The 24,530-nt window shown below is 55.5% G+C and overlaps 1 protein-coding gene across 5 annotated transcripts in view, besides 5 other annotated features; it reads left to right on the plus strand.

Moving 5' to 3' along the window:
• Window positions 1,655-2,386: an enhancer, noted in NCBI's record as "H3K27ac-H3K4me1 hESC enhancer chr17:19030843-19031574 (GRCh37/hg19 assembly coordinates)". NCBI's record gives its function as "activates a minimal SCP1, AML or CMV promoter by ChIP-STARR-seq in naive H9 embryonic stem cells {active_cell/tissue: H9 hESC(naive)}" and the evidence as "EXISTENCE:reporter gene assay evidence [ECO:0000049][PMID:30033119]".
• GRAPL (GRB2 related adaptor protein like) overlaps window positions 1,714-24,530 on the plus strand; it is a 31,599-nt gene continuing 8,782 nt past the window's right edge. For 3 of the 5 annotated variants that reach the window (XM_017024636.3, NM_001129778.3, NM_001353418.2), the window contains exons 1-3: window positions 1,714-1,822; window positions 6,767-6,864; window positions 12,591-12,713. In XM_017024636.3, the coding sequence (XP_016880125.1) occupies window positions 1,745-1,822; window positions 6,767-6,864; window positions 12,591-12,713 (299 nt within the window). In that variant the 5' untranslated portion in view covers window positions 1,714-1,744. Of the gene's footprint in view, window positions 1,823-6,766; window positions 6,865-12,590; window positions 12,714-18,227; window positions 21,490-24,530 lie in introns of those variants that run through there. The other 2 variants (XR_007065298.1, XM_011523857.4) reach the window with 2 other exon arrangements.
• Window positions 14,963-15,564: an enhancer, noted in NCBI's record as "H3K4me1 hESC enhancer chr17:19044151-19044752 (GRCh37/hg19 assembly coordinates)". NCBI's record gives its function as "activates a minimal SCP1, AML or CMV promoter by ChIP-STARR-seq in naive H9 embryonic stem cells {active_cell/tissue: H9 hESC(naive)}" and the evidence as "EXISTENCE:reporter gene assay evidence [ECO:0000049][PMID:30033119]".
• Window positions 15,565-16,165: an enhancer, noted in NCBI's record as "H3K4me1 hESC enhancer chr17:19044753-19045353 (GRCh37/hg19 assembly coordinates)". NCBI's record gives its function as "activates a minimal SCP1, AML or CMV promoter by ChIP-STARR-seq in naive H9 embryonic stem cells {active_cell/tissue: H9 hESC(naive)}" and the evidence as "EXISTENCE:reporter gene assay evidence [ECO:0000049][PMID:30033119]".
• Window positions 17,223-17,735: an enhancer, noted in NCBI's record as "H3K4me1 hESC enhancer chr17:19046411-19046923 (GRCh37/hg19 assembly coordinates)". NCBI's record gives its function as "activates a minimal SCP1, AML or CMV promoter by ChIP-STARR-seq in primed H9 embryonic stem cells {active_cell/tissue: H9 hESC(primed)}" and the evidence as "EXISTENCE:reporter gene assay evidence [ECO:0000049][PMID:30033119]".
• Window positions 18,761-19,272: an enhancer, noted in NCBI's record as "H3K27ac-H3K4me1 hESC enhancer chr17:19047949-19048460 (GRCh37/hg19 assembly coordinates)". NCBI's record gives its function as "activates a minimal SCP1, AML or CMV promoter by ChIP-STARR-seq in naive H9 embryonic stem cells {active_cell/tissue: H9 hESC(naive)}" and the evidence as "EXISTENCE:reporter gene assay evidence [ECO:0000049][PMID:30033119]".

The following is a 24,530-nucleotide window of genomic DNA, read 5'->3' on the forward strand; positions in this document are numbered from 1 at the left end:
ATCTCCCAGGTTCAAGCGATTCTTCTATTATTGGCCAGAAGGTCAGGGTGTGTTCATAGAATGATGGGTCCATGTCAAAAGGATAAGGAGACAGCTTGAAGGAGACCCCACTGGCCTAATCAGGGGCATTTTAAGCATCAAAATAAATGTAATAGTAATGGATTATAATCCACTGGCTAAAATATGAAACCATGAGTCCATATTAATATAAATGAAGGAAGAAAAACTTCTTTACAGAAAAAAAACAATGTGACTTCACACTGATTCATCCAGTGTCCATGCAACACCACAGGGCTCTGCCTGGTTTTCCTTCCACGTCTGTGTCTCCCTTCTTTCCCAGGGAGAACCCTGGTTCCAAACAATACAGCTGTGCTTGTCCATTTGTGCGCTATCCTGCAACACTTGCAAAACAGTTTCAGAATTGCTACACCGATAACACTGCTCATAACAAACCCACTAAGGAAAGGTAGAGATTTATTTACAATTCTCTTTTTTTTTTTTTTTTTTTTTTGAGAAGGAGACTCGCTCTGTCACCCAGGCTGGAGTGCAATGGCGCAATCTCAGGCAGGAGGATCGCTTGAGTCCAGGAATTCAAGACCAGCCTTGGTAACATGGTGAAAACCCATCTCTACTAAAAATACAAATAATTAGCCAGACATGGTGGTGGGCACCTGTAGTCCGAGCTACTCTGGAGGCTGAGGTGGGAGGATTGCTTGGAGCCTGGATGGATCCTTGGCTCACTGCAGCCTCTGCCTCCCGGGTTCAAGCGATTCTTGTGCCTCAGCCTTCCCAGTAGCTGGGATTACAGGCACATGCCACCATGCCAGGCTAATTTTTTGTATTTTTATTAGAGATGAGGCTTCACCATGTTGGCCAGGCTGATCTCGAACTCCTGACCTCCAGTGATCCGCCCATCTTGGCCTCTCAAAGTGCTGGGATTATAGGCATGAGCCATCGCGACCGACCTACAAGTCTTGTTGACCTTAGGATTTAAGTCCCACCTAAGGTGCCCAGTGTCTAAACCAGAAGAGGTACCTTCTGAGCTGGTCTTTGATGGATGAATAGGAGTCTCCTGGGAGCAGAAAGAGGAGAACACCAGGCAGAGGAACCACGTGTGCAAAAGTCTGGGGTTGAAATGAGAGTTTGGTGTGGCCCCTTGCTGTGGCTGAAGCCCTGGGTTTGTTTAGAGTGAAGGGGATGACAAAGGATGAGAATGGGGGCTGTTTGTAGGGGCAGGTGGAGGTGGTGGATTGCAAGGGCCTTGAATGCCAGGTGAGGAGCTTGGGATTGAAGGAGCAGGAGGCAGGGCATCACAAGAGGCATCAGGGTTTAGGAAAAGATGGAGAGTCATTGGCAGATTGGTGAAGGGAGGCCAGCATCTGGTGCCATGAGACTCAGTGCCTGAGCCAGCAGGACAGCTTTGGCACTTCTCCTCCAGGCACCTCACTTTTACGGATGATAAAACATGGGCACAAGGGGGCCCCACTCCCAGAGCTTCAGGGAGACTCCCCAAGGGCCATTCCTGGCACCTGGGGTCTGAGGTAGGGACAGAGCTGGCTCACAAGCCCTCCCTGCTCTGTGACATGTCTGTTTCCTGTTTCTCCCCCATCAGGAGCAGTTTCAGTCTCAACTTCAAAAGAACAAACGCGCACTCAAAACAAAGGAAGACCGTCCTCGACTGCAGAGGAAGCAGGAAGCTGTCGGCCCAGCTCTGAGCCCAGCTGCTGGAGCCCCGAGCAGCGGCATGGAGTCCGTGGCCCTGTACAGCTTTCAGGCTACAGAGAGCGACGAGCTGGCCTTCAACAAGGGAGACACACTCAAGGTAGGGGGGCTGGAGCCTGCTGAGTTGGCCCCACACGGGGTGGGGGTGGATTTAGGAACCAGGGACCTGGGACTGTCCCAAGCAGACTGTGGCCCCTGGAAGACAGGCCCAGCCTCTCCAGTTATTGGCTGTGTGACTCTGGACAAGCCACCTTTTCCCTCGGAGCCTCAGATTCTCCATCTAGGAAATGGGGAGATAACTAATGACCCTCCTTTGGGGCTGTTGTGAGGATTCGATGAGATATTACCACAGTGTCTGGCAGGAGTTAGTTCAACCCCCAGTTTTCCAGGAAAAAGTTTGAAAAGAAAATTGTTGAGAGAGGGAGAGAATGAGAGCTAGAGAGAGAGACAGAGTATGGGAATGGAGAACAGAGCGAGAAAGAGGGAGAGAGAGAAGGTCTTAGGAAAGAAATAAGTACACATGCTAACCTAGTAGGGCTAAAATAGCTAAGATGAAAGTGTCAAGGATGAGCTTCCCAGTAGTGTGGAGAAAAGGGAAAATAGAGTCATACCACCGTTCATTTCTCCTTGTCTGGGCCGCTTTTGACAGATGTTGCAGCCTTCCAAGACGGTCTAGACAGTTGGGCCTGTGGAATGTGTCTCTGGAAATGTCCTTGCTTAAAAGTTTGCATATGAAAGCCATGCCCAGGATTCTGGGAGTGGCCATGCCAAGACGTGTGCACTGGAACTGCCAGTAAACCACACTAGGGAAGTGACTGCCCTTCCCTGGGCCTCAGTTTCCCCACTGGAGCAATGGGTGTTAGACTGGATGCTCCTCTGCGCTGAGCCCTGGGCGCTGCCCTTGGCCACAAGCTTCAAGCACAAGACGGGAGAGCTCCCTGTGCCATCACCCTGCTATAGCCAGGCCCCGAACTCAGCAGCACACCTCATGTACCATTTAAGCAATGGGGACTGGCACCCCCATTTCACAGGTGACTAAACTGAGGCACAGGGAGGCAACATGACCTGCTCGGTATGGAGTCAGTTTTGAACCCGTGTCCCTTTGGCTGTGGAACTTGCGCTTGGTCTGAACAGGCTGGGCTGGGGGTTGGGGTCCAGAGGAGGAGGAGCAATTCCTCCTTCTCTATGCTGGGGTGCTGGTGCTGGCACCTGGGGTCACTGCAGTGCTGGCTGTCGGCCTCGTGGACATGTGGCCAGATGGGGACAGGGCCAGGCTGAGCACTGGGGCTGTGAGCCCAAGGCATGACCCTCTGCGGGGATCCAAGTCTTGGTTTCTCATCTGAGAGCACTTCGAGGTCTCTAGACCCAAGTGTGGTGTTGGGAGGGAGTGGGGCAGTGATGAAATAGGAATGGGGTGCGCGGGAGGCGTTGAGCCAGGCTTGGAGGGATCAAGTGGCTGGGGTGGAAGCTGAGCTCCGCGACCATCCTGTCCTCTCGTCTAGCAAGTATTTTCCAGTGCTCCCTGTGGGCCAGCCCCTGCCATGGCACTGCCTGCCTACAGATTGAGTCCAGCCTGGGAGAGTGGGCGATGAAGCCCGTTCTTGAAATCTGAACTTTGGTCTTGGATGAAAACTCTGGCTCATGGACTCACCCTGGACAAATGGCCCCAAACATCACCTCCCTGGGACAAAGCCTCCCTCCCTGATAGGCCAGGCGTTTCTGGGTGCACGCACCCCCATGCTGTTGCCAGCTGGAGGGGCATGTGGTTAGTGGCTTCACTCCCATCTCTGCACGAGCAGCCTGGATGATGAGACCCAGACTCAGGAAGCCCATGTCACCTTGACATCTCCATGGGAAAGGGCGACGGTCCAGACCCAACACAGCCAGCCCTGGGCTCCCTGAACCTACTTTCTGCTGCCTGTCATTGTCTTGTCGGCAACTCTGGCAAAACCTACCCGAAGCCCCTCCTCCAGCCCAGGCCTCCATTGTCACTTACCTGGGCTTGCGTGGTGGCTCCCAAGGCCTCCCCGCAACAATCCCTGCTCCCCAGCCCAGTCTCCATGCAGTGGCCATGACTCAGAGCCTGGTCCTCCCCCGTACATCTTATGACATCTGCTCCTCCCTCCCTCAGCTCCAGACACCCTGGCCTCCTTTCTGTTTCAGGGACAGAGCTTGGCCCCACCTCAGAGCCTTGGCACTGGCTGTTCCGTCCGTCTTGGACACTGTTCCCCACATTTTCTTACCGCTGGTTCCTTCTTGTAATTCGGGTCTCAGCTTCCATGTCACTTCTTCAGAGAGGCCTTTCTGGACCACCCCACCTGTCCCGTGTTGACAATCTCCCTGCTCCCACCCAACCAGACATTCTCCATCTGTCACCTGATGTCCATTTTTCACAGCGCTTACTGCTCCATTAAACTACCTTGCTTATTTGTTTCTTCCCTTGTTTATGGTCTGTCTCTGCCTACTAGAATGTGAGCTTCTTGTTCCCTGCTCTGTCGTGGGGTGCCTGGCACACAGTAGGTGCTCAGTAAACAACTATCAAGCAGCAACTGCATCGGGCTGGGATGGTAAAGTGGGGCGGCAGCCTGGGTGGAGGGCACCATGTGGGCAAAGGCTCAGGGGCAGGCCAAGTTCTGCCTCTCACCTTGAGCAGTGATACTCCTCCAGGGAGGAGTTGGCCTCTCTCCCTTGTGAGAATTCCCGGGTCTCAGAGGGTCTGGGGCTTTCAAACAATGTTCACAGTAAGAAATCAGTTAACGTGAGGTCAAGAGATCGAGACCAGCCTGGCCAACATGGTGAAACCCCATCTCTACTAAAAATACAAAAATTTAGCTGGGCGTGGTGGCACACACCTGTAGTCCCAGCTACTCGGGAGGCTGAGGCAGGAGAATCGCTTGAACCCAGGAGGCAGAGGTTGCAGTGAGCTGAGATTGCGCCACTGCACTCCAGCCTGGTGACAGAGTGAGACTCCATCTCAAAAAGAAAAAAAAAAAGAAAAAAGAAAAAGAAATTAGCTAATGTAACCAATGGGACATTCCTGAGTCCTCTGAGTGCAGATGACAAAGAGACAAAACGAAGCAGGGACTGCATGAGACGTATTCCACCCAGTGTCCGCACTGCTGCATGCAGGGCAGGCCATAAATGCACCCATTGGACAGACGAGGGAGGACACTGAGGCCAAGGCCACAGAGAGAGTCAGAAGCAGACAGAATGTTCTGGAGCCCCAGGCTTCAGGGCATCCTCCTGGAATCCATGGCTGTGGTATGTGGCCTACAGGCCCTCATTTTCTCCTTAGGTTGGGGGAGTTGTTTTGTTTTTTTGAGACGGAGTCTCACTCTGTTGCCCAGGCTGGAGTGCAATGGCGCGATCTCGGCTCACTGCAGCCTCCAGCTCCCGGGTTCAAGTGATTCTCCTGCCTCAGCCTCCTGAGAAAGTTGGGGATTATGAGAGTATGCCACCATACTTGGCTAATTTTTTTGTATTTTTAGTAGAGACGGGGTTTCGCCATGTTGGCCAGGCTAGTCTTGAACTCCTGACCTCAGGTGGTCCACCCTCTTCAGCCTCCCAAAGTGCTGGGATTACAGGCGTGAACCACTGCGCCCGGCCTGTTTTGTTTTGTGTTGAGCGAAAGTTTTCCTGAGTCAGCCACCTGCTTCCGTTCACCCCTGGGTCTGCTGACCTGGCCCAGGCTGCAGGGGCAGGAAGGAAGAGGCTCAGCCAGCCTGGCCTGGTGGACAAAGCGGGGGTGGAGATGGGGGTGCAGAGGCCACCTGTGAGGGTGGGGCCTCAGGCCTGGGCCCTAGGAGGCCAATCCCAGCTACTCTTGGCAAAATATCACTGCTGGAGTTGATGCCCCTGTATTGGCCCGCCCTGGGCCTTTGGTACCCCGTGCCCAATTTTTTCTCTCAAGTACCCCTGAAGGATTGAGCTGACATTGGAACCTGCTCCAGGACTGACAGGAGAGATGTCCCCTCACAGGAGAGATGTCCCCTCAAGCTGGAGTCCAGTGACAAAGAGGACTGGAGGCAAAAATTGGTGGGCCAGGACCCCCTTGACCAGTGAGCCAAAAACTCCAGGCCTCAGAGTCCTGACTGACCAAACAGGCTCTGCCTCTCCCCTGCTGCGTGGCCTTGGCCAAGTCACTTCCCCTGTGGGCCTCAGTTTTGTTATTTGTAAAATAGCATTTGGTGATGTTGACCTTGGGGGCTATATGAGAATCAGGGGGACAGACGGAAGGCGTGCCCAGGGAATGGAGGCAGGACCCCCGGCCTCATGCTGTGCCCCTCCCAGGCCCGGCCCCGCCCCCCGCCTTGGTCGCTTGGTTGCTCCCCCTCAGGGACTCCCACCCCGGCTCTGGCTATTTCAGTTCCTCCGGGCCCACCTGTGGTGTGATGGGGGCCTCACAGGCTCGGAAGAGGAGCCCGTGTGACCGAGCAGGCCATGCCAGGGCTGAGAACCAGTCTGTCTCAGACCAAAGGCCCCCTTATCTGCTCCCCAGAGCCTGACGTCCCCCCACTGAATTGTCACCCCTGAGCTGTCTAAATGCGAGGGACCCTAGGTGACCACTGGTGGCTGTGCTCAGGCCGGGTCCCCCGACCTTCACCCCAAGGCTCAGTGCGTGGCATGTAAGTGCTGTGGGCCCCCCAAACTCGGGGGCACAACCCAGGAAGGAACTCAGGTCCCCAGTTCTGCTCCTGCAAACCCCATGGTCCGCAGGGCTCCTGGTGTCGGAGCCTGAGAATCCAGCTCCAGCCACCCCAAGCCTCCTACGAGTCCCCGACTGTGCCTCCCTTGGAGTCTGTGAATCACCTGAGGATGGGCTGTCCTGGGGCCAGGGGATGGGCAGCACTGAGGAACGAGGGCTTCTAATTCAGCCCTTGGGACCATGGGCAAGTCCTGTCCCAGGCCCCCAGCCCTGCTCTGTGAGTAGGCACAGAAGCTGGTGCAGGCGAGGCCCACCTGGGGCCTGGCGTGCAGTGGGGCCTCCGGGGGTGACAGTTGTTCCTTCTCGGTGACTGAGTGGCTTTGTGTCTCCTGCCCACAGATCCTGAACATGGAGGATGACCAGAACTGGTACAAGGCCGAGCTCCGGGGTGTCGAGGGATTTATTCCCAAGAACTACATCCGCGTCAAGCCCCATCCGTGAGTGGACAGCCCCATCCCATCCCCGTGGCTCTATCTCTCCTGGCCATGGGACCCCCTCACTCCTGGGCCTCTGTCCATCTGTCTGGGGCCCCCAGGCTCCACAGAGGCCACCAGCCTGGGCAGGCATAGGAGACTGAGTTCTGAGGACTTCCCCAGAGTGGGGACAGAGTCAGGGCAAGCCCAGGCTTCCACACTGAGGACGTGAGCCACTGGAGAATGTCCAGGAGGTCCCCGAGAGAGGACAAGGCCCTGGGCTTTCAGCTGGCTGCGCCACTGGCTGCTGTGTGGCCTCAGGCAGGTCCCTGCCCTCTGTTCCTCAGTTTTCCTATCTATAACTCAAGGAGGGCAGATGCTCCAATCTGTTCAGGGTGGAGGGTTCTAGAGCTCTTGCTGAGAGCTGGCCCGGCCCTGGGTTGTGGCTGGGAGAGGGCTGGGCGGGAAGCAGACCCTGTAGGCCCTGCCTTTGGAGTCTGGGGGGGAGTTGGACATTGGCAGAGCAGAGTCTGGTACCAGGGTGGAGCAAGAACTGGGCCTGGGGCCCAGCTATCCTGGGGCCTGGGACCTACCAGCCTAGGGATGTCCCAGGTTGGGCTCTGGGCAGGTGGCAGCCAACACTGCTGCCCTGAGAATGACTGGGGCAGGGCCCAGCCTCAGAACAGGCATGGGGCCCAAGAAATCTATGCAAACCAACTGGATATGCTTTAAATGGCAGCTGAGGCAGCCCCAAGATACAGCCACTTAGTCATTCACTAAACACTGGCCACAATTCCAGGGGGTCCAGCCCGGGTGATGCTGGAGACACAAGGGGTCAGAGCAGCTGTGTTCTGGGGGAGAAAGAGGACATGAAGGACATACTACATGGGAAGACAGTGAGCATTAAGGTGATTTCTCAGGGAAGGCTTCTCAGAAGAGGTGGCAATGAGTGAGGTTTTGAAGGATGTGTAGGAGTTGGTTAAGTAGAAAAAGAGAAAGGCATCCCTGGGAGAGGGTCAGGATGAGCAAAGGGAGAGCAATGAGAGAGAACTTGTGGCATGTGGGACTGGCAGGAGGCCCCCAAATGCCAAGCCATGTGGGGAGCCATGGAGGTGTTATGGTAGGACTCAGTCAGATATGGAGACAGGTGACAGGGCCAAGCAGGCTGGCGGGACAGTTTGGGAGCTGAGATGTGTGTGTGGCTGTGCGGTGGGAAGGGAAGGAGGTGCAGGGCCAGGGTGGGGCATGAGAGGTATTTCCTCTTTATCTCTCTTTAAGTTAGTTCCAAAGCTGCCACCACCTCCAGCTTCCTGTGCTGGGCGAGGCCCCCTCCGACCCAGGTCCTCAGCCACCTGCCCGGGCTGCAGGCACTCCCAGCCTCCCCCACAGAGGCTGCAGCTTCCAGTCGGCATCTGGGGCGGCAGCCTGGGTTCCAGGCCCCACTATGTCCCGCGTGGTTGTGTGACATTGGGCAGGTTTCTGTGATCTTTCTGTCAATTAAGGGGGAGAGGGAGGGGGGTGTGCGAAGAGGGAGAGAGACGAGAGAATCCGACCCAGGGCCACAAGCTGGAGCCAGTGCCCCAGGCCCCTGTAAGCCAATGGGACCATCCAGACATGCCAGAGGGCATGAACGGGAGCAATCCCCCTGGGCCAAGCTGTCAGGGAGGGGCCTTCAGGTGGAGGAAATGGCCTGGCAATGGCTGGAAGGCTGGCTGGCCTACAGCTGCTGAGAGGGTCGCATTTGCTCAGGCAGGGGAGAAAAGATGACAAAAGACCGCAGTGCCGGGCCAGGCCTGTCGAGGGGATGCCAGTGGTCGAGGCAAGACTCTAGCAGGGCAGTTGGGAGCCATGGAGGGTTTCAGCCTCCCATGCCTCTGGGGTCATCTCTGGCCATTTGTGTCTGGGACACAGCAGGGATGGGGTCAAGCCCCCGAGTAACCTGCCTGAAGTGATGCCCAGGTGTGTCCTCGACTAACCTCAGCACCTGCCTTGCTCCCCAAAATAACTATGGGGAAACTCCAGCTCCATACCTGACTTAGCCCATAAAGGCCTCAGGTGTGGGGTCAGAGGGAGGGCTGGGGCCTCAGAAATTCAGAGGTAGGCCTCGTGCCTATGCCAGGCCCACTCCTTCCCTGGGCACCCCCTCTCACCCCTGCCAACCCCAGGAGCCCCCGGGGGAGGCACAATGTACGCCAAGTGCTCCAGAGCCAGCCCCATCAGCAGGGGCCACAGCGGCAAGTGACCCAGCCTCACGGCCCATGGGAGTCAGGGATGGCTTCCTAGAGGAAGGGTGTGGCCCGCTGGGCCTGGAAGTTCAAGTAGATGTCTGCCAGGGAAGGCAGAGACAAGCCTGGCAGGGGGATGTGTGGGGGGAGCAGCAAACACCCGCGTACGAGCAGCTCATGCATCCTCCCAAGGCCCTGAGAGCTGAGCACCACCATCGCCATCTTTGAGATTAGCAGACAGAGGCACAGAGAGGTTGAGTGCCCCCCCAGGATCTCACAGCTGGCACGAGGTGGAGCGGGACTGCAGCCGTGTGGCATGGCCCTGGGCTGGGACACCCTGGAGGACAGCGGGGAAGCTCATAAGAACAGCTGTGGGACTGGGAGAGTCCCAGGCCATGCACTTGCTATGCAATCTGGTGGGGTGTGGGGGCGTCTCTGCCCCTATCTGGGCCTCGGTTTCCACATCAGTAAAACAGGAATGATGCGAGATGGCCACAAATGGAGTGACACTGGTGTGGGGGAAGGAGCCGGGCCCTGGAGTTTCAGGAAGTGCTTTCTTCTTGCCTCCATCCGTCAAGCCATGGTGGGGGCAGGGCTGGCAGGGGACGTGGGAACTCCTGGGAGGGTGTGATTGCGATGCTCTCTGAGGGCAACAGCCACCCACACACTGATGCCGCCTGAGGAGTTTTGTGGGTTCTTCGAAGAAACCTGCCCCCTCAGGAAACTCCCGCCCTGGGCCACGCTGGGCACTGTTGCGGGACGGAGCTGGGGGCTTCCTGGTGGAGAAGCTCTCTGCAGCTCCCCTGCCTGGTAACCCCAACCCTGGGCCCCCTACGCTCCCCTCCTGCTGCAGCCTGTGGCATTCACCTCTGGCCTTGAGACACCCAGGCTGGCTGGGCACCTGCCTTCAGGTCTCCAAACCCCAGAAGACCCAGGCTGAGCTCTCCGGATGGTTGCCCTGAGCCCTATACCCAGCGGCTACCTTCCCCACGTCCCCTCCCAGAAGGAAACTCGCTGGGACAGGGGCCGAGGGGCCCCCATTCGTTTGGGGGCAGCAGTGGTCTAGAATCTCATGTCTAGGAGTTCGGGTTTCTCCGGAAGCCGTCCCTGAGACACGAGCCTGATAACAAGGAATTTATATAACAGTGGAGAAGAGGACAGGGAAGTGGGGGAGCCAGTGGGGCAAACTGTTGGCGTCATCGCTGCTGGGGGTAACCGGAGCTCCATCTGGCTGGGGACCAGGGCCAGCTGGAGACAGTACAGAATGCGCACCTAGGAGTCATGCCTCCGGAAGGCCAGGCGCTGGGGCGTCTACCCCTCTGCTCCATCAGTCACCACTGGGAGTCAGACTGTTCCTGGGAGCCTCAGCCTGCCCTGAACCCAGGCCAAATATGTCAATCACCAGAAAAAAGGCCCCGAGGTCTGTACTGAGCAGCCTTCATCCTGCCAAGGCCGGCGCCGGGACATGGCCAGGACACTAGCGGCATGTGCAGCACCGCACGCCTTCTGCACTCAGCCCCGAGGGCTCATCAACATCCGAAACAACAGGAAAAGCCCCGCCTGGCTTCCACCACCTGTGCCGAGCTCAGTCTGACTCAGGGAGAGGAGCATTTATGGAAGGAGTGAAGGGGAACATTCTGTCATGGTGCCACCACGAGACCTGTGGCTGCTCTGGGCCTCAGTTTCCCCATCCGAACAATAAAGGGGTCAGAGCCAAAGCTGGGCTAAAACACTGGAGTTAGGAAAGCCAGTCAGAGACCACACAGCCCCTCCGATGGTGGGTGTTCTAGTCCTGCAGGCTGCTGTCACGGAATGCCATCCACTGGGTAGCTTATGAACAACAGACATTTGTTGCTCACTGTTCTGGAGTCTGAAGTTCAAGATCAAGGTGCCGGCAAATTCACGTCTGATGAGGCTACTTCCTGGTTCACAGACGGCTGTGTCTTTTAGCTGTGTCCTCACATGGCAGAGAGACAAGTGAGCTCTCTGGGGTCTCTTTCATAAGGGCACCAATCCCATTCATGGGGACTGCTAATCACCTCCCAATGACCCCACCTTTTACTGCTGTCACATGGGGGATTAGGTTTCAATATTTGAATTTTGGGGGACAGAAAGTCAGCCTATAGCAGTGGCAAATTCCTGAAGAGGCCGGGGGCTACCAGGAGCTACCAGGAGCCACACAGCAAGATAAGCAGGACTGGAAAAGGAGTTTCACTCCCAGACCCTGGGGATCTTGCAAGAGTCTAAGCATTTACCAGGCAACTTCTGCATACCCAGTTCTGTTTGGTCAGCAGCAAAAGGAACTTGTGCCTGTGAAAAAAATTCAGGTGGCCTGAGACTGTGGAATGGATATTTCCTCACCATATCAAAGCTACTATTATTTTTGTCATGTTTTTATATTTTCGACTTAAGAAGTTTTTTTTTTTTTGCCGGGTGCGGTGGCTCACGCCTGTAATCCCAGTACTTTGGGAGGCTGCGGTGGGCGGATCACGAGGTCAGGAGATCAAAACCATCCTGGCTAACATGGTGAAACCCTGTCTCTACTAAAAATACAAAAAAATATGTATATATGTATATTAGCCGGGGCGGTGGCACACACCTGTAGTCCCAGCTACTCGGGAGGCTGAGACAGGAGAATCACTTGAACCCAGGAGGCGGAGGTTGCAGTGAGCTGAGATCATGCCACCGCACTCCAACCTGGACGGCAGAACAAGACTCTATTTTTTAAAAAAAGTGTTTGTTTGTTTGTTTTTGAGACGGAGTCTTGCTCTGTCACCCAGGCTGGAGGACAGTGGTGCGATCTCGGCTCACTGCAAGCACCGCCTCCTGGGTTCATGCCATTCTCCTGCCTCAGCCTCCCCAGCAGCTGGGACTACAGGTGCATGCCGCCACGCTCGGCTAATTTTTTTGTATTTTTAGTAGAGATGGGGTTTCACCGTGTTAGCCAGGATGGTCTTGATCTTCTGACCTCGTGATCCTCCCGCCTCGGCCTCCTAAAGTGCTGGGATTACAGGCGGGAGCCACCGCACCCGGCCAGAAGTATTTTTTTAAGGAATGGGGGTGGGAGGTTCTCTATTCCCCAGGCTGGTCTCAAAGTCTTGGCCTCAAGTGATCCTCCCATCTCAGCCTCCCGAGTAGCTGAACTACGGTCACGCACCACCGAGCCTGATTTATTTTTTGACTTTAAAGAATCTACCATCTCAAAGGGAAAGTTAGACTGAGGTTGGCTGGGGTGTGGCTCACTGGAGTGTGACTTTTCTGTTTCCATAAGGGTATGTGTTTGCTGGCATGGTAGGAGAGGCTGGCCTCAGGAGCTAAAATGCTGGGATTGTGTTCCAGCTCCTGCCTGCCTCTGCTGTGTGATTGTGGGTGTATTGCTTCACCTCTCTGTGCCTCAGTTTTCCCATCTGTAAAATGGGTGCAATCACATCTCCCTTGTCTCAGACCTTGAACACCTGGCACGGGGTGGGAGGCTGGCTGAGAGCCTGGTCTCACACTGCCTTCACCGGCTCCCTCTCTCCGCAGGTGGTACTCGGGCAGGATTTCCCGGCAGCTGGCCGAAGAGATTCTGATGAAGCGGAACCATCTGGGAGCCTTCCTGATCCGGGAGAGTGAGAGCTCCCCAGGGGAGTTCTCTGTGTCTGTGAAGTGAGCTCTGGCCCTTGGGGGTGTGTGCAGAGGAGGGTGGGCGGGGTTGGGCAGCATTTGAGCTGAGCCTTGGGGCCCGGGACGGGCTCACGGAGTGAGGGTGGAGGAATGGCATCCCTGCAGAGGGAGCAGTCCGGGCAGAGGCCTTCCGGACACAGGCGGTGGTCTGGGCACCCCAGGGTGCAGCCCAGAGCAGTGGGGTGTGTTGGGAAAGCAGGATCAGGCCAGCTGTGCAAGGCCTCAATGCCAGGCTGAAGGTCCAGGCTTCTACGAGTATAGGAGCCATCATAGGTTCTTCATCAGGAGAGGGCGATGTCCAGGGTGGTGATGTGGCAAGAGATTGAGGGCAGGAGAGTGCTGAAACGCCCAGGGCGGGTGTCCAGGATGTGCTCCGCACAGGGTCCCACTCTATGTGATATAGTTGGGAAGATGCACCCTGAGGCCAGGCTGCCTGGGCTCAAATGCTAGTTCTGCCACTTCCTGGCTGTGTGAGCTTGGGCAAGTCACTTACCTTCTCTGTGCCTGTTTCTTCACATGTAAAATAGGCTATTGCACGGAAGAAACAAGTTGGTATATTTAAAGCAATTAGAATAGTCCCTGGCATGGAGGCAGGGTGGCCGTGCTGGGGAACATCTGGCATTGTATTAGGGCGGCCCTCAGCTGTGGTGTGGCAGCCTCTGGGCAGCACAGAATCCAATCCTAAAGGGCCACCCTGGAGTGATTGAGGAATCCAGGCTGGAAAGTAGCAGCAGGAATGGGGGTGGGGGTAGACAGGGTCAGGCTCCTAGTTAGTCTCTGTCCTTCCTACTCTTAGGCCTTGGTAGAATCTAGATGCATTAATTCAAGGAATATTTATTGATTAGGTGCCATGTGCCAGGATGCTCTAGGGGCTGGGGAAACCAAATGGGAAAAAAAACAAAGTTGCTGCTGTCGTGGGTTTCAGTCTTTGTGAGTGAACAAGAAAACATGTTAATACAGAATGAACCAAGGTGGTCAGGAAAGGGCTCTCTGAGGAGGTGGCCTTGCAGCAAAGATCTGAACTAGGAGGTGGAGGCTTCCCAGGTGCCCAGGAATGAGGAGGACCTGGGAAGAGAGGCTTCTAGGCAGAGGGAATAGCATTTGCAAAGACCCTGAGGTGGGAATGTGATTGGGGCATGTAGGAGCCCGGAGGAGGTGACGTGGCTGGAGCAGAGTGAGCGAAGGGCAGGGGCTGGAGTTCCACCCACATCCAGTGATCACAGAGGGCCTGAAAGGAGGTCGGGTTTTCTCTCAGAGCAATAGGGAGCCATGGAGGGTCTTGAGCAGGGGAGAGATGTAATTGGACTCCATTTTTAGCAGATGACTCTGAGTGCTGTGAGGAGAAAGAACTGTTGGGGGAGAGCGTGGTGGCAGGGAGGCCCGTGGGGAGTCAGGAGGGAGATGATGGCCTCTGGGACTGTACGGGTAGGGGCTGATGAGGGGACACAGAGAAATGGTTGGGCCCAGGCATGGAGGTGTGCGGGGGGACCACCAGCAGTACCAGCTCTCAGGGCTGCTGTGGGCACAGAGCCCGGAATGGAGGAGGCGCTTACCATGCCAGCTCTTACTGCCACCAGCGGAGCTAGCACTGGGGTGGTAAAGAGTCCAGCCGGGAGGAAGGGATGAAGGAAGGGGTGGCCCCAGAGGAGGGCAGAGTGGCCTCTCATGATCTCCTAAAGGATGAAGGCCAGGTGTGGTGGCTCACGCCTGTAATCCCAGCAGTTCGGGAGGCCAAGGCGGGTGGATCACTTGAGGTCAGGAGTTTGAGACCAGCCTGGCCAACATGCTGAAACCCCGTCTCTACTAAAAATACAAAAATCAGCCAGGCATGGTGGCGCACGCCTGTAATCTCAGCTACTCGGGAGGTTGAGACATGAGAATCATTTGAACCCGGGAGGCAGAGGCTGCAGTGAGCCGAGATTGTGCCACTGCACTCCAGCCTGGGTGATGGAGTAAGACTCTGTCTCAAAAAATAAAAATAAAAATAAAAATAAAGGACAAAGAAATACAGGCCTGGGTCGATAGCTAACACTGGGGCTGGGTGTGGAGATGCAAGCTTGATGGGGCTTGGAGTCAGGGGGTCCCAAAGAAGCAGACAAAGGCAGACTCAGACAGGCTGGGCCAGGAGCCCATGAGGGCTCCTGCTGGGGGAAAAGCATTCCCACCCACCTGATGCCTTCCAGGCTCTGCCGGGTCCCTGTGACTCCCATGTGTTCAGCCGGCCTGTTTTGAAACAAGCTCAAGCTGTTCACTGTGTGGGATCAGCACGTCTGCTGCTAGCCCTGCAGGGTGGCGAGCTCCCCTGAGCCTGGAGGCACCCGCAAGGAATAGGAGCCTATGGTCAGGAAGGCGGCTCTAGGGGTGTGTTCGTCCATTTAGTGTTGTGATAAAGGAACACGTGAGGCTGGGTAATTTATAAAGAAAAGGCGTTTATTTGACTTGGTGTTCTACAGGCTGTGTAGGAAGCATGGCACCGGCATGTGCCTCTGGTGAGGCCTCAGGAAGCTTTTACGCATGGTAAACGGGGAAGGGGATCCGGCGCATCACATGGCGAGACGGGGGCAAGTCGGGGAGGGAGGTGCCAGGCTCTTTTCAACAACCAGACCTCAGTCATTACTGCAAAGAGCCACTGATGAGGGTCTGTCCCATGACCCAAACACCCCCCACCAGGCCCCACTTCTAACACTGGGAGTCACGTTTCAGTGAGAGATTCGGAGAGGACAAACATCCAAACCATACCAGGGAGGCAGATCCAACGTCTCAGGGGTCACAGCCCCCCACATTCACCCTGAGCCCGGGCGCCCAGTTGGTGGAACCAGCCATCAGCCTTGTTCCCTTCCCTTTTCTCCTGGGGGCAGGCTGGTGATCCTGAGGGGCAGGAACGCGCATGCCCCCTCTGAGCCTCTATTTCCCCATCTTAAAAATGCGAGTGCTGTCAGCATGTGCGTGTGTGCGCTTGTGTGTGCTGGGGGTTTACTGTGCGTTCTTGGCCCTGACTGCCCACCCCCGGGATGGTGTGGGCACCTGGAGCCTGGAGTCCCCGCGGGCTCACCCCCCACCCCCCCAGCCCAGCCACCACTTCCCTGCAGCCCCGGGGAGCTGCGGCTCCTGCGGAGGCAGGACGTGGCAGTCTTCCAAGTGTCGGCTGTCCAGGGCCTGGTCATCTCCTGGGAATGGCGTCCGCCAGGCGGGCTGGCCTGGCTGAGTGGCTCCTGGAACCAACCCCAAAGCCCAAGGTCACCCAGCAAAGTGGGGGCACAGGGGACTCAAACTACGTCTGGAGCCCGAGTTGAGGGGGAGGGGCTGGCCCTCCCTCCGCCCTCCGGCTTCCTCCTCTAACAAATCACGCGGCCTCACTCTCCAAGTTAGCGCCCCAGTGTGCTGCCCTCTTCAGGCGTCTCTCTGTAAGTGCAGCCACCTGCGCACACGCACATGATCAGACCTGAACACCCCAGCCTTGTGAGTTTGCTCAGCACGCATTTATTGAGCATCAGCTGTGTGAAAACCACAAGGCAGGACTGAAACAGGAGACAAACCAGAGGCATGTGAAGGGGAAATGGTCACAGCCTGGCCCAGGGGTCTCTATGATGAGCAAATGAATAAATGAAATTCAATGACAGTGGATACATTCCACATAGTGAAGGCACCAGGGAGGAAGTGACATCTGAGTTGGGCTCTAAAGCATGAGTAGGATTTTGGCGCACAAGGAGAGTAGATGATATGCCAGGCACAGGGAACAGCATGAGTAGAGATCTAGAGGTGGGGAAGCGAGGGGTGTGTTTGGATAACAACGTGTTTTCTGACCAGGAGGGAAGATGGACAGTCTTAGGGAGCAGTTCTTGAGCAGGCGAGCCAGCACCGGTGTTTCCTGGGAAGGGATCTGGAAGCGACCCTCAGAGAAATCCTGGCCTGTGCCCCCGAACCTTTTGTCCAAGGCATACTGGCCAAGTGTGCCCAGGTCAAAACTGTCAGGAGCTTCCTGGGCTTGGCTGGCTGTGGGTTGTACACAGCACCAGCAGGTGGAGCCATTGACCCTTGGCTTCTTCCTGCCTGGGCCCAGGCTCCTGGGTCCTGCTCCCATTCTGTCCATCATCTGTCATGGGGCCTCTCAGTGGTCCTTGGACAACCACCAAGCAGGGGTCAGAGTTGGAAGCTGAGACTCAAATGGGGCATGTGGCTAAGAGCATGGTATTTTGAGCAACAGTCAGCTCTGACACCTGCTAGCTGCTCGCTGTATAATCCTGGGCAAGTTACCCCTCTGAGCCTCAGTTTCCTCATTTATAAAATGGACAGCTATGTAACGTGTTTTTTATGATGACTGGCACATGATAAGTGCCAGTTATCATAATTATATTAAGGCTCCAAGGACTGCACACCAAGCTGGGGAGGAATTAGGGAGCCCCTCCTGGCCTGGAAGGCTGCCCCCCACCCCCTGCCCATGAATCCAGCACTCTTAGAGAAGAGGCAGCAGCACAGGGAGTCAGGGAACCCAGATGCTGGGAAGCCGGGTGACCTGATGGCCACCTCGGAAAATGACAGCCTGGCAGATTTGTGTGTAAGAGCTCTTCCACCCTTGCTGGTTGGTACTTGGGAACTCTGATGGCACTATGCATGGCATCTCTGGCATACTCACACCAAGCCCTGTAAAGCTGTCAGAGGTGGGGTTTATGGGCCTCATGCTGCCTCCTAGAGCAACTGTGGCCATAGCTAGCTGCCCTTTATGAGTTTACAAAGGGCTGTCCCCCTCCTCCTCCAGGGAGCATGTCTGAGCTGGCGGGCAGCGGGCCAGGGGCCAAGGCTGGCGTGCAATGTCTGGGCTGCCTAACTTTTGCCCCACACTCCTATCCAAGCTACTGTGGACTCTTCTGCCATAAATGACAGTTTGTCTCCAAGTGACATATTTGCCTCCTTTCTAGCCAGAGGTACCCTGGAGTCAATGCACATGTGTTTGCCCTGCCCATCTGGTCACTGAACCCCTGCTGTGTGCCAGCCCTGTCCCAGGGCCTGGGGATTCAGCCAGCAACAAAATAGGGCAAAGCTCTCTGTCCCTCAAGTGCCCATGTGCTACTGGGTGACAGACAATAAGTGATTAGGAAATTGTATAAAATCTTACACAATGACCAAGGCTTTGGAGAAAATGAAGCAGGGAAGTGGTGGAGGGGGGGTGCAATTTTAGGAGGAAGGGACTGGCTGCAGGCAAGGACAGGGAGGAAGTGAGGAGACCTGCCTGATCCCCAGAAGCCCAGCTTGCAGGTAAGGAAACTGAAGCCTGGAGAGGTGCAGCAACTTCCCCAAGGTCACACAGCGAGGAACTTAGAGCTGGTGCCCACCGACCTCTGTGCCCTGACAGACCTGGTCTGTCCTCCACCCACCCTCCCTGAGCTCCAAAGACCCAGCAGGAGTCTGTCTGCACCAGTGTCCTGCCCCTCCCAAGCTCAGCTTGACTCTGGTTCCTGTCTGCTGCCGAACAGGTTGTTCCACCCCTCCTTTTCACAGATGGGCAAACTGAGGCCAGAGAGGGGCCATGCCTGATGGAGATCGCCCAGCGGGCAGTTAGCACCCAGGTGGGTCCACACGTCCACAAGCCCTGGTTGGGGTGGTGGAGGGGGTGTCCTAGGGCTCCTGCCCCCACCCCAGCCTTGTTTTTCCTCTCTGGGCTGACACTGTTACCTTTGCTGCTGCTGCTGCTGCTGCTGCTGCTGCCGCCACCAGGCCAGAAAAACTCGCTGGGCAGGACTGGCTGCTGCCAGCATTAGGCCTGACTTGGTCCTTGGGGCTTTTCTGACAGCCCAGGGGTCAGCCTAGCCCCTTGTTCCCCTGGGTAGGTGGATGTAGGGGTCACACAGAGAGACAAAGATACTCATGATTGCTCAGTGAGAGACTCACACATAACAGTCACTCCACACAGTGGGAGACACACACAGACACACACACACACAAGCATCCCAGGAATGCACACTCAGACACAATGGAGACGCTCTCACACCCCCGGCACTGCCCACTGAAGTGAATGGCTCCAGCAGCCTCTCCTCTCACCAACTCAGGCCCACAATCCCAGTGCCCCCTCCCTCCTCTGGCTCTGGGAGGCTCATGCAGCAGAGCCGGCTGCACTGGATCCAGCCCTCCCGGTTCCGGGGCCATCTGGACTCAGATTCAGTTCCTCCTGCAAGCCCTGAAGTTCCCACAGGCCTTGGGAAGGGGAGTGGAGATGAGGTCTGGAGAGGCCCCAGAGGGTAGCCCCAGTCTGGGGGATTCTCAAATGCTTTGAGGCTCCACCTGGGCCTTGAAGGATGGCTAAGGTCAAGACTAGACAGAGAAAAGGGAAAAGGCATTATTTCTGGTGAGGGCCATGAGCAAGAGCCCAGCCAGGCTAGGGAAAAGGGCCAGGCTGGGAGAGGGAGTGACAGCTGGGATGCTGGGCTGTGAGATGACAGAGACAGCACCGCTTGGCCTCAGGCAGGGGCTGGCTCAGCAGGAGGGGCTGCACCCAAGCCTCACTGTCCTCTGCTGTAAAGCAGGACATTTGGACCAGGTGGGAGAAGGGGCAAGATTTGCCATTTACTGAGCACCTAGTATGTGCCACACACAGACTAGGTAGGGGCTGGCACATGCACGTTTCCCAGATTTGAGAATTCTCCAGTTCCCAGGTTGGAAAGCCCTAGAATCCCTGGGTCCCTGGCTCCCTTTCCCTTATCTCCTGTTCTCCACTCCCTGACTCTACTATATGATCAAAGAACTGCTCCAGATAACGTTCTATCTGCTCTAGATAACTTTCCAAGTATCTAAAGATGAACTTCAAATACCATAAAATTCAAAGTTGTGGTCGTTTGGGTTTGAAATCATTTTCAAACCCACCACACCCTTTCTGTCCCCTCACCCAGAGGAGTGGGGCCACCTGTATGCAGGCCCCTCCTCGGGGCCAACAGGGAGTCAGGGCCTTCTGCCTGGGTACCCGGTGCCCCAGAGGTGGAGCCACTGGGATCCCTGTCTCCAGGCTTCTCGCCTGCCCAGCTGTGGGTCACCGTCACTCCACTGCTTGAAGCAGTGCTCCTCCCCAGGCACCACGGCCAAAGTTCAGTAAACCCTGGGCTGGTTAGCACGTGGCACTAGGGAGTCATGGGGCTCAGAGGCTGCCTCTCGGAAGCCTCTGGGAGGCTTCGGAAGGCCAGACAGGGCAGGAGACACACATCTGCCTGCACACCCACCTCCGCGTCACGAGCACATGAACTAGCTCTCTTTCTGGCTGTGTGACCCTGAGGGCTGGATGCATCTTAGAGCAATGGGTTGGCCACCGGAGCCTGGGTTCAGGGTCAGAACACCTGGTGGGCTGCAATCCCAGTTCAGAACCAACAGAAGTGGGTTTCAAGAACAAAGCATCGCAATGAGGACCTAAGACCTGGAAAGTGATGCTCTGTTTGCTGAGTCCCAGCTAGACTGGACCTTCAGGGCCCACTCCTGCCTCCCTGCCTTTTTAGTGTCTCATATGCAAGTCATTTTGAGTAGCAAGTTACAAGAAGGCTATGAGAGGGGCTGAGGGATCCAAGAAGGCCCTGACTGCGTGATGGGGTCTGATGCAGCTCTCACAGGATGCGCCATTTTACCTGGGCCTTGAGGCATGAGTAGGAGTTCAAGAAAAATTCCTTCCAGTTGGAGGAAATACTGTGTGCAAATGCCTGGAGGTGTATTTAGAAGTGGTTTGGGGCTGGGCGCCGTTGCTCACACCTGTAATCCCAGCACTTTGGGAGGCCGAGGTGGGCAGATCACCCAAGGTCAGGAGTTTGAGACCAGCCAGGCCAACATGGTGAAACCCTGTCTCTACTAAAAATACAAAAATTAGCTAGGCGTTGTGGCAGGTGCCTGTAATCCCAGCTACTAAAAATACAAAAATTAGCTAGGCGTTGTGGCAGGTGCCTGTAATCCCAGCTACTCAGAAGGCTTAGATGAGATAATCGCTTGAACCCAGGAGGCGGAGGCTGCAGTGAACCGAGATCGCACCATTGCACTCCAGCCTGGGTGACAGGGCGAGACTCCGTCTCAAAAAAAAAAAAAAGGGAGAAGTGGTTTGGACCCCTTGACTGTAATGGAGTAGGGGGAATCCCATTTTGCCCTACGCCTCATACAGACCAGAGGGTGGGAAACTTGAACACATCTTTATCTTAAATCTTTCATCTTAAAACATCAATAAGGAAGGAAGCCACCCCAGGGATGACTGGTGGAGAAACTCAACCACAGGCAGGGATAGGACAGATGGAGCAGCAGATCTGGGCAGCTGGGGTGACAGACACCACCCTCTTGTTCAGGAGAACCATAGACCTGAAGGAACTCAGGCTGTGGGTGAACCCAAGCTTGCAAATGTATTGCGACCAAATTGTTTAACCAGATTTCAATTTACAACCCAGGAGAGGTAGGGGTGTGTGTGTGTGTGTGTGTGTGTGTGTGTGTGTGCGCGCGCGCGCGCGTGCATGTGTCCCATCAAGGCATCAAGTGCTTTGGACTGGTGGTTGGATCTCATTTAGCCCAAATGTGAACAAAAAGATCCCTAGCCTGTGGCTCAGGAGGCTGAGGGGCTATCTACCTCCCAGTGGTCATCCTGTGCCCCTACCCTGCCTCACCCGGCTCACAGGGCCCCAGGCTTTCCCAGCTATTAGCTCCGCCAGCCACCTGAACAGGTGCCCTCCCTCGGGGTCCTAAACTGTCTTCTTTCTGGTTGGGAGCTGGGACTGTTCTGTGTTCTCCCCACAGCCCCTAGCCCAGCCAGGTGGGCCTAGGGTGGCTCTGTTGGCAGCACCCACACAGCCCCCAGGGTCCCAGGCCTCTCAGCTCCCTTGCAAGGAGTGCACTATCGCCCACATTTGGCAGGCCAGGACGCAGAGGCCCAGAGAGGTGGGCTGGGGTCTAAGTCCAGGCAGGCTGGCTATAGAGCTGGGAAGGGTAGCTAAGGTTTGGCCAGGCAGAGAGGATGAGGCAGGGAGGGAGGGCCTCCTGGGGGGCACAGCCCAGGTAGCAACATGGCAAAGTAGAAATGGACTTGGAATGATGAGCTCTGGAACAATAGTAATAGCATAATTGGAATAATTATTATTGCTATTGTTATGTGATAATAACCAATCAGGAGGGCATTAGGCAACGTTTTACATGTATGAGCTCAAATGTGGCCCCAGCTCTGACCTTTCTTGCTGTTGTGGCTCTGGGCAGGTCGCGGCTGCACTCGGGGCCTCAGTTTCCCCACTGGGGCATGAGGATTTCAAGAAAAATTCCCTCTAGCTGGAGGACACTCTGTGTGCAAATGCCTGGAGGTGTGTTTAGAAGTGGTTTGGACCCCTTGACTGGAATGGAGTAGGGGGAATCCTGTTTTGCCCTATGCCTCATACAGATCAGAGGGTGGGAACCTTGAACACATCTTTTTTTTTTTTTTAGAGACAGAGTCTTGCTCTGTCGCCCAGGCTGGAGTGCAGTGGCGCGATTTTGGCTCACTGCAACCTCCACCTCCTGGGTTCATGCCATTCTCCCGCCTCAGCCTCTGGAGTAGCTGGGACTACAGGCACCCGCCACCACGTCTGGCTAATTTTTTTTTGTTTTTTAGTAGAGATGGGGTTTAGCCAGGATGGTCTCGATCTCCTGACCTCTTGATCCGCCCGCCTCGGCCTCCCAAAGTGCTGGAATTACAGGCATGAGCCACCGCGCCCGGCCTTGAACACATCTTTATCTGAAATCTTTCATCTTAAAACATCAATAAAGCAGCAAGCTGCCCCAGGGATGACTGGTGGAGAAACTGAAACATAGGGCCCAATTTGCTCCTCCTGGGCCGTGAGGCAGGCCAGCCACCCCCGAAGCACAGCGGGGCAGCGCTGCAGTCATGTCTGCCATGATCTTGACCCACAGCTGCACCGCCTCCAGTCCCAGCCCCACAAGGCCTGTCCTGGGTGGACACGCCGAGTGTGAGAGGTTCCAGTTAGTTCCTCTGCCCAGTCCCAGCCAGGACAGGCTCTGCCTCTGGCCAGTTTGAAAGAGCAGGCTCGGCTGGGTGCGGTGGCTCACGCCTGTAATCCCAGCACTTTGGGAGGCTGAGGCGGGTGGATCACGAGGTCAGGAGTTCGAGACCATCCTGGCTAACACGGTGAAACCCCGTCTCTACTAAAAATACAAAAAAAATTAGCCGGGCGCGGTGGTGGGCGCCTGTAGTCCCAGCTACTCGGGAGGCTGAGGCAGGAGAATGGCGTGAACCTGGGAGGCGGAGCTTGCAGTGAGCCGAGATAGCGCCATTGCACTCTAGCCTGGGTGACAGAGCGAGACCACGCCTCAAAAAAAAAAAAAAAAAGAAAAGAAAAAAGAAAGAGCAGGCTCTCTCCTCCGCTGGGCTAGAAGGTACTTGGGGCGATTTGGCGATAGTGGGCTGGCTGGAAGGCTGGGCACAGACGGGAAATGAGAGAGAAAAATCCGTGGCTGGGCGCAGTGGCTCACGCCTATAATCCCAGCACTTTGGGAGGCCGAGGAGGGTGGATCACAAGGTCAGGAGTTTGAGACCATCCTGGCCAAGATGGTGAAACCCCGTCTCTACTAAAAATACCAAAAAATTAGCCGGGCGTGGTGGCGGGCACCTGTAATCCCAGCTACTCAGGAGGCTGAGGCAGAGAATTGCTTGAACCTGGGAGGCAGAGGTTGCAGTGAGCTGAGATCGTGCCACTGCACTCCAGCCTGGGCAACAGAGCAAGACTCTGTCTCAAAAAAAAAAAAAAAAAAAAAAAAAAAAGATAGCATCCACTCAATATCTAGTCTCTGATCTTATGGCACATTTCTGTTCCATTAATCTTTAGGCTTTTTCCCAAAGTGGTGAAGATTCCAAACAAAATGGGCCATTTAGAAAACGTTTTCAGGCTGGTCACCGTGGCTTACGCCTATAATCCCAGCACTTTGGGAGGCCGAGGTGGCTGGATCACAAGGTCAGGAGTTCGAGACCAGCCTGGCCAACATTATGAAAACCTGTCTCTACTAAAGACGCAAAAAATTACCTGGGCATGGTGGTGCATGCCTGTAATCCCAGCTACTCGGGAGGCTGAAGCAAGAGAATCACTTGAACCTGGGAGGCAGAAGTTGCAGTGAGCTGAGATCACACCATTGCACTCTAGCCTGGGTGACAGGGTGAGACTCTTTCTCAAAAGAAAAGAAAATGTTTTTGGCTGGGCACAGTGGCTCATGCCTGTAATCCCAATCCCAGCACTTTGGGAGGCCGACCGAGGTGGGTGGATCACTTGAGGTCAGGAGTTTGAGACCAGCCTGGCCAACATGGGGAAACCCCGTCTCTACTAAAAATACAAAAATTAGCCAGGCGTGGTGGTGCACACCTGTAATCCCAGCTACTCGGGAGGCTGAGGCAGGAGAATCCCATGAACCCGGGAGGCAGAGGTTGCAGTAAGCCAAGATCACGCCACTGCACTCCAGCCTGGACAACAGAGCAAGACTCCGTCTCAAAAAAAAAAAAAAAGTTTTCTTCAGATTGTCAAATTCTGACTTGAAACAGTTATCATAAGCTGAGCCTGGTGGTTCACACCTGTAATCCCAGCACTTTGGGAGACTGAGGTGGGAGAATCGCTTGGGTCCAGTAGCGAGACCTTGTCTCAAAAACAAATCAAACAAACAAAACACAAAAACACAACCACAAAAAGCAAACAACACCCCCCTCCCACCCAAAGAAAAAGAAATGGTAACTACCTGGACAAAACATTTCACGTGCATTGTTTTAGTAAACAGACACAACCTTGGCTTCAGGTCTTTTTTGTTTTCTGTCACCCAGGCTGGAGT

The sequence above is a fragment of the Homo sapiens genome, chromosome 17 (assembly GCF_000001405.40).
Source record: "Homo sapiens chromosome 17, GRCh38.p14 Primary Assembly".
Classification (NCBI taxonomy): domain Eukaryota; kingdom Metazoa; phylum Chordata; class Mammalia; order Primates; family Hominidae; genus Homo; species Homo sapiens.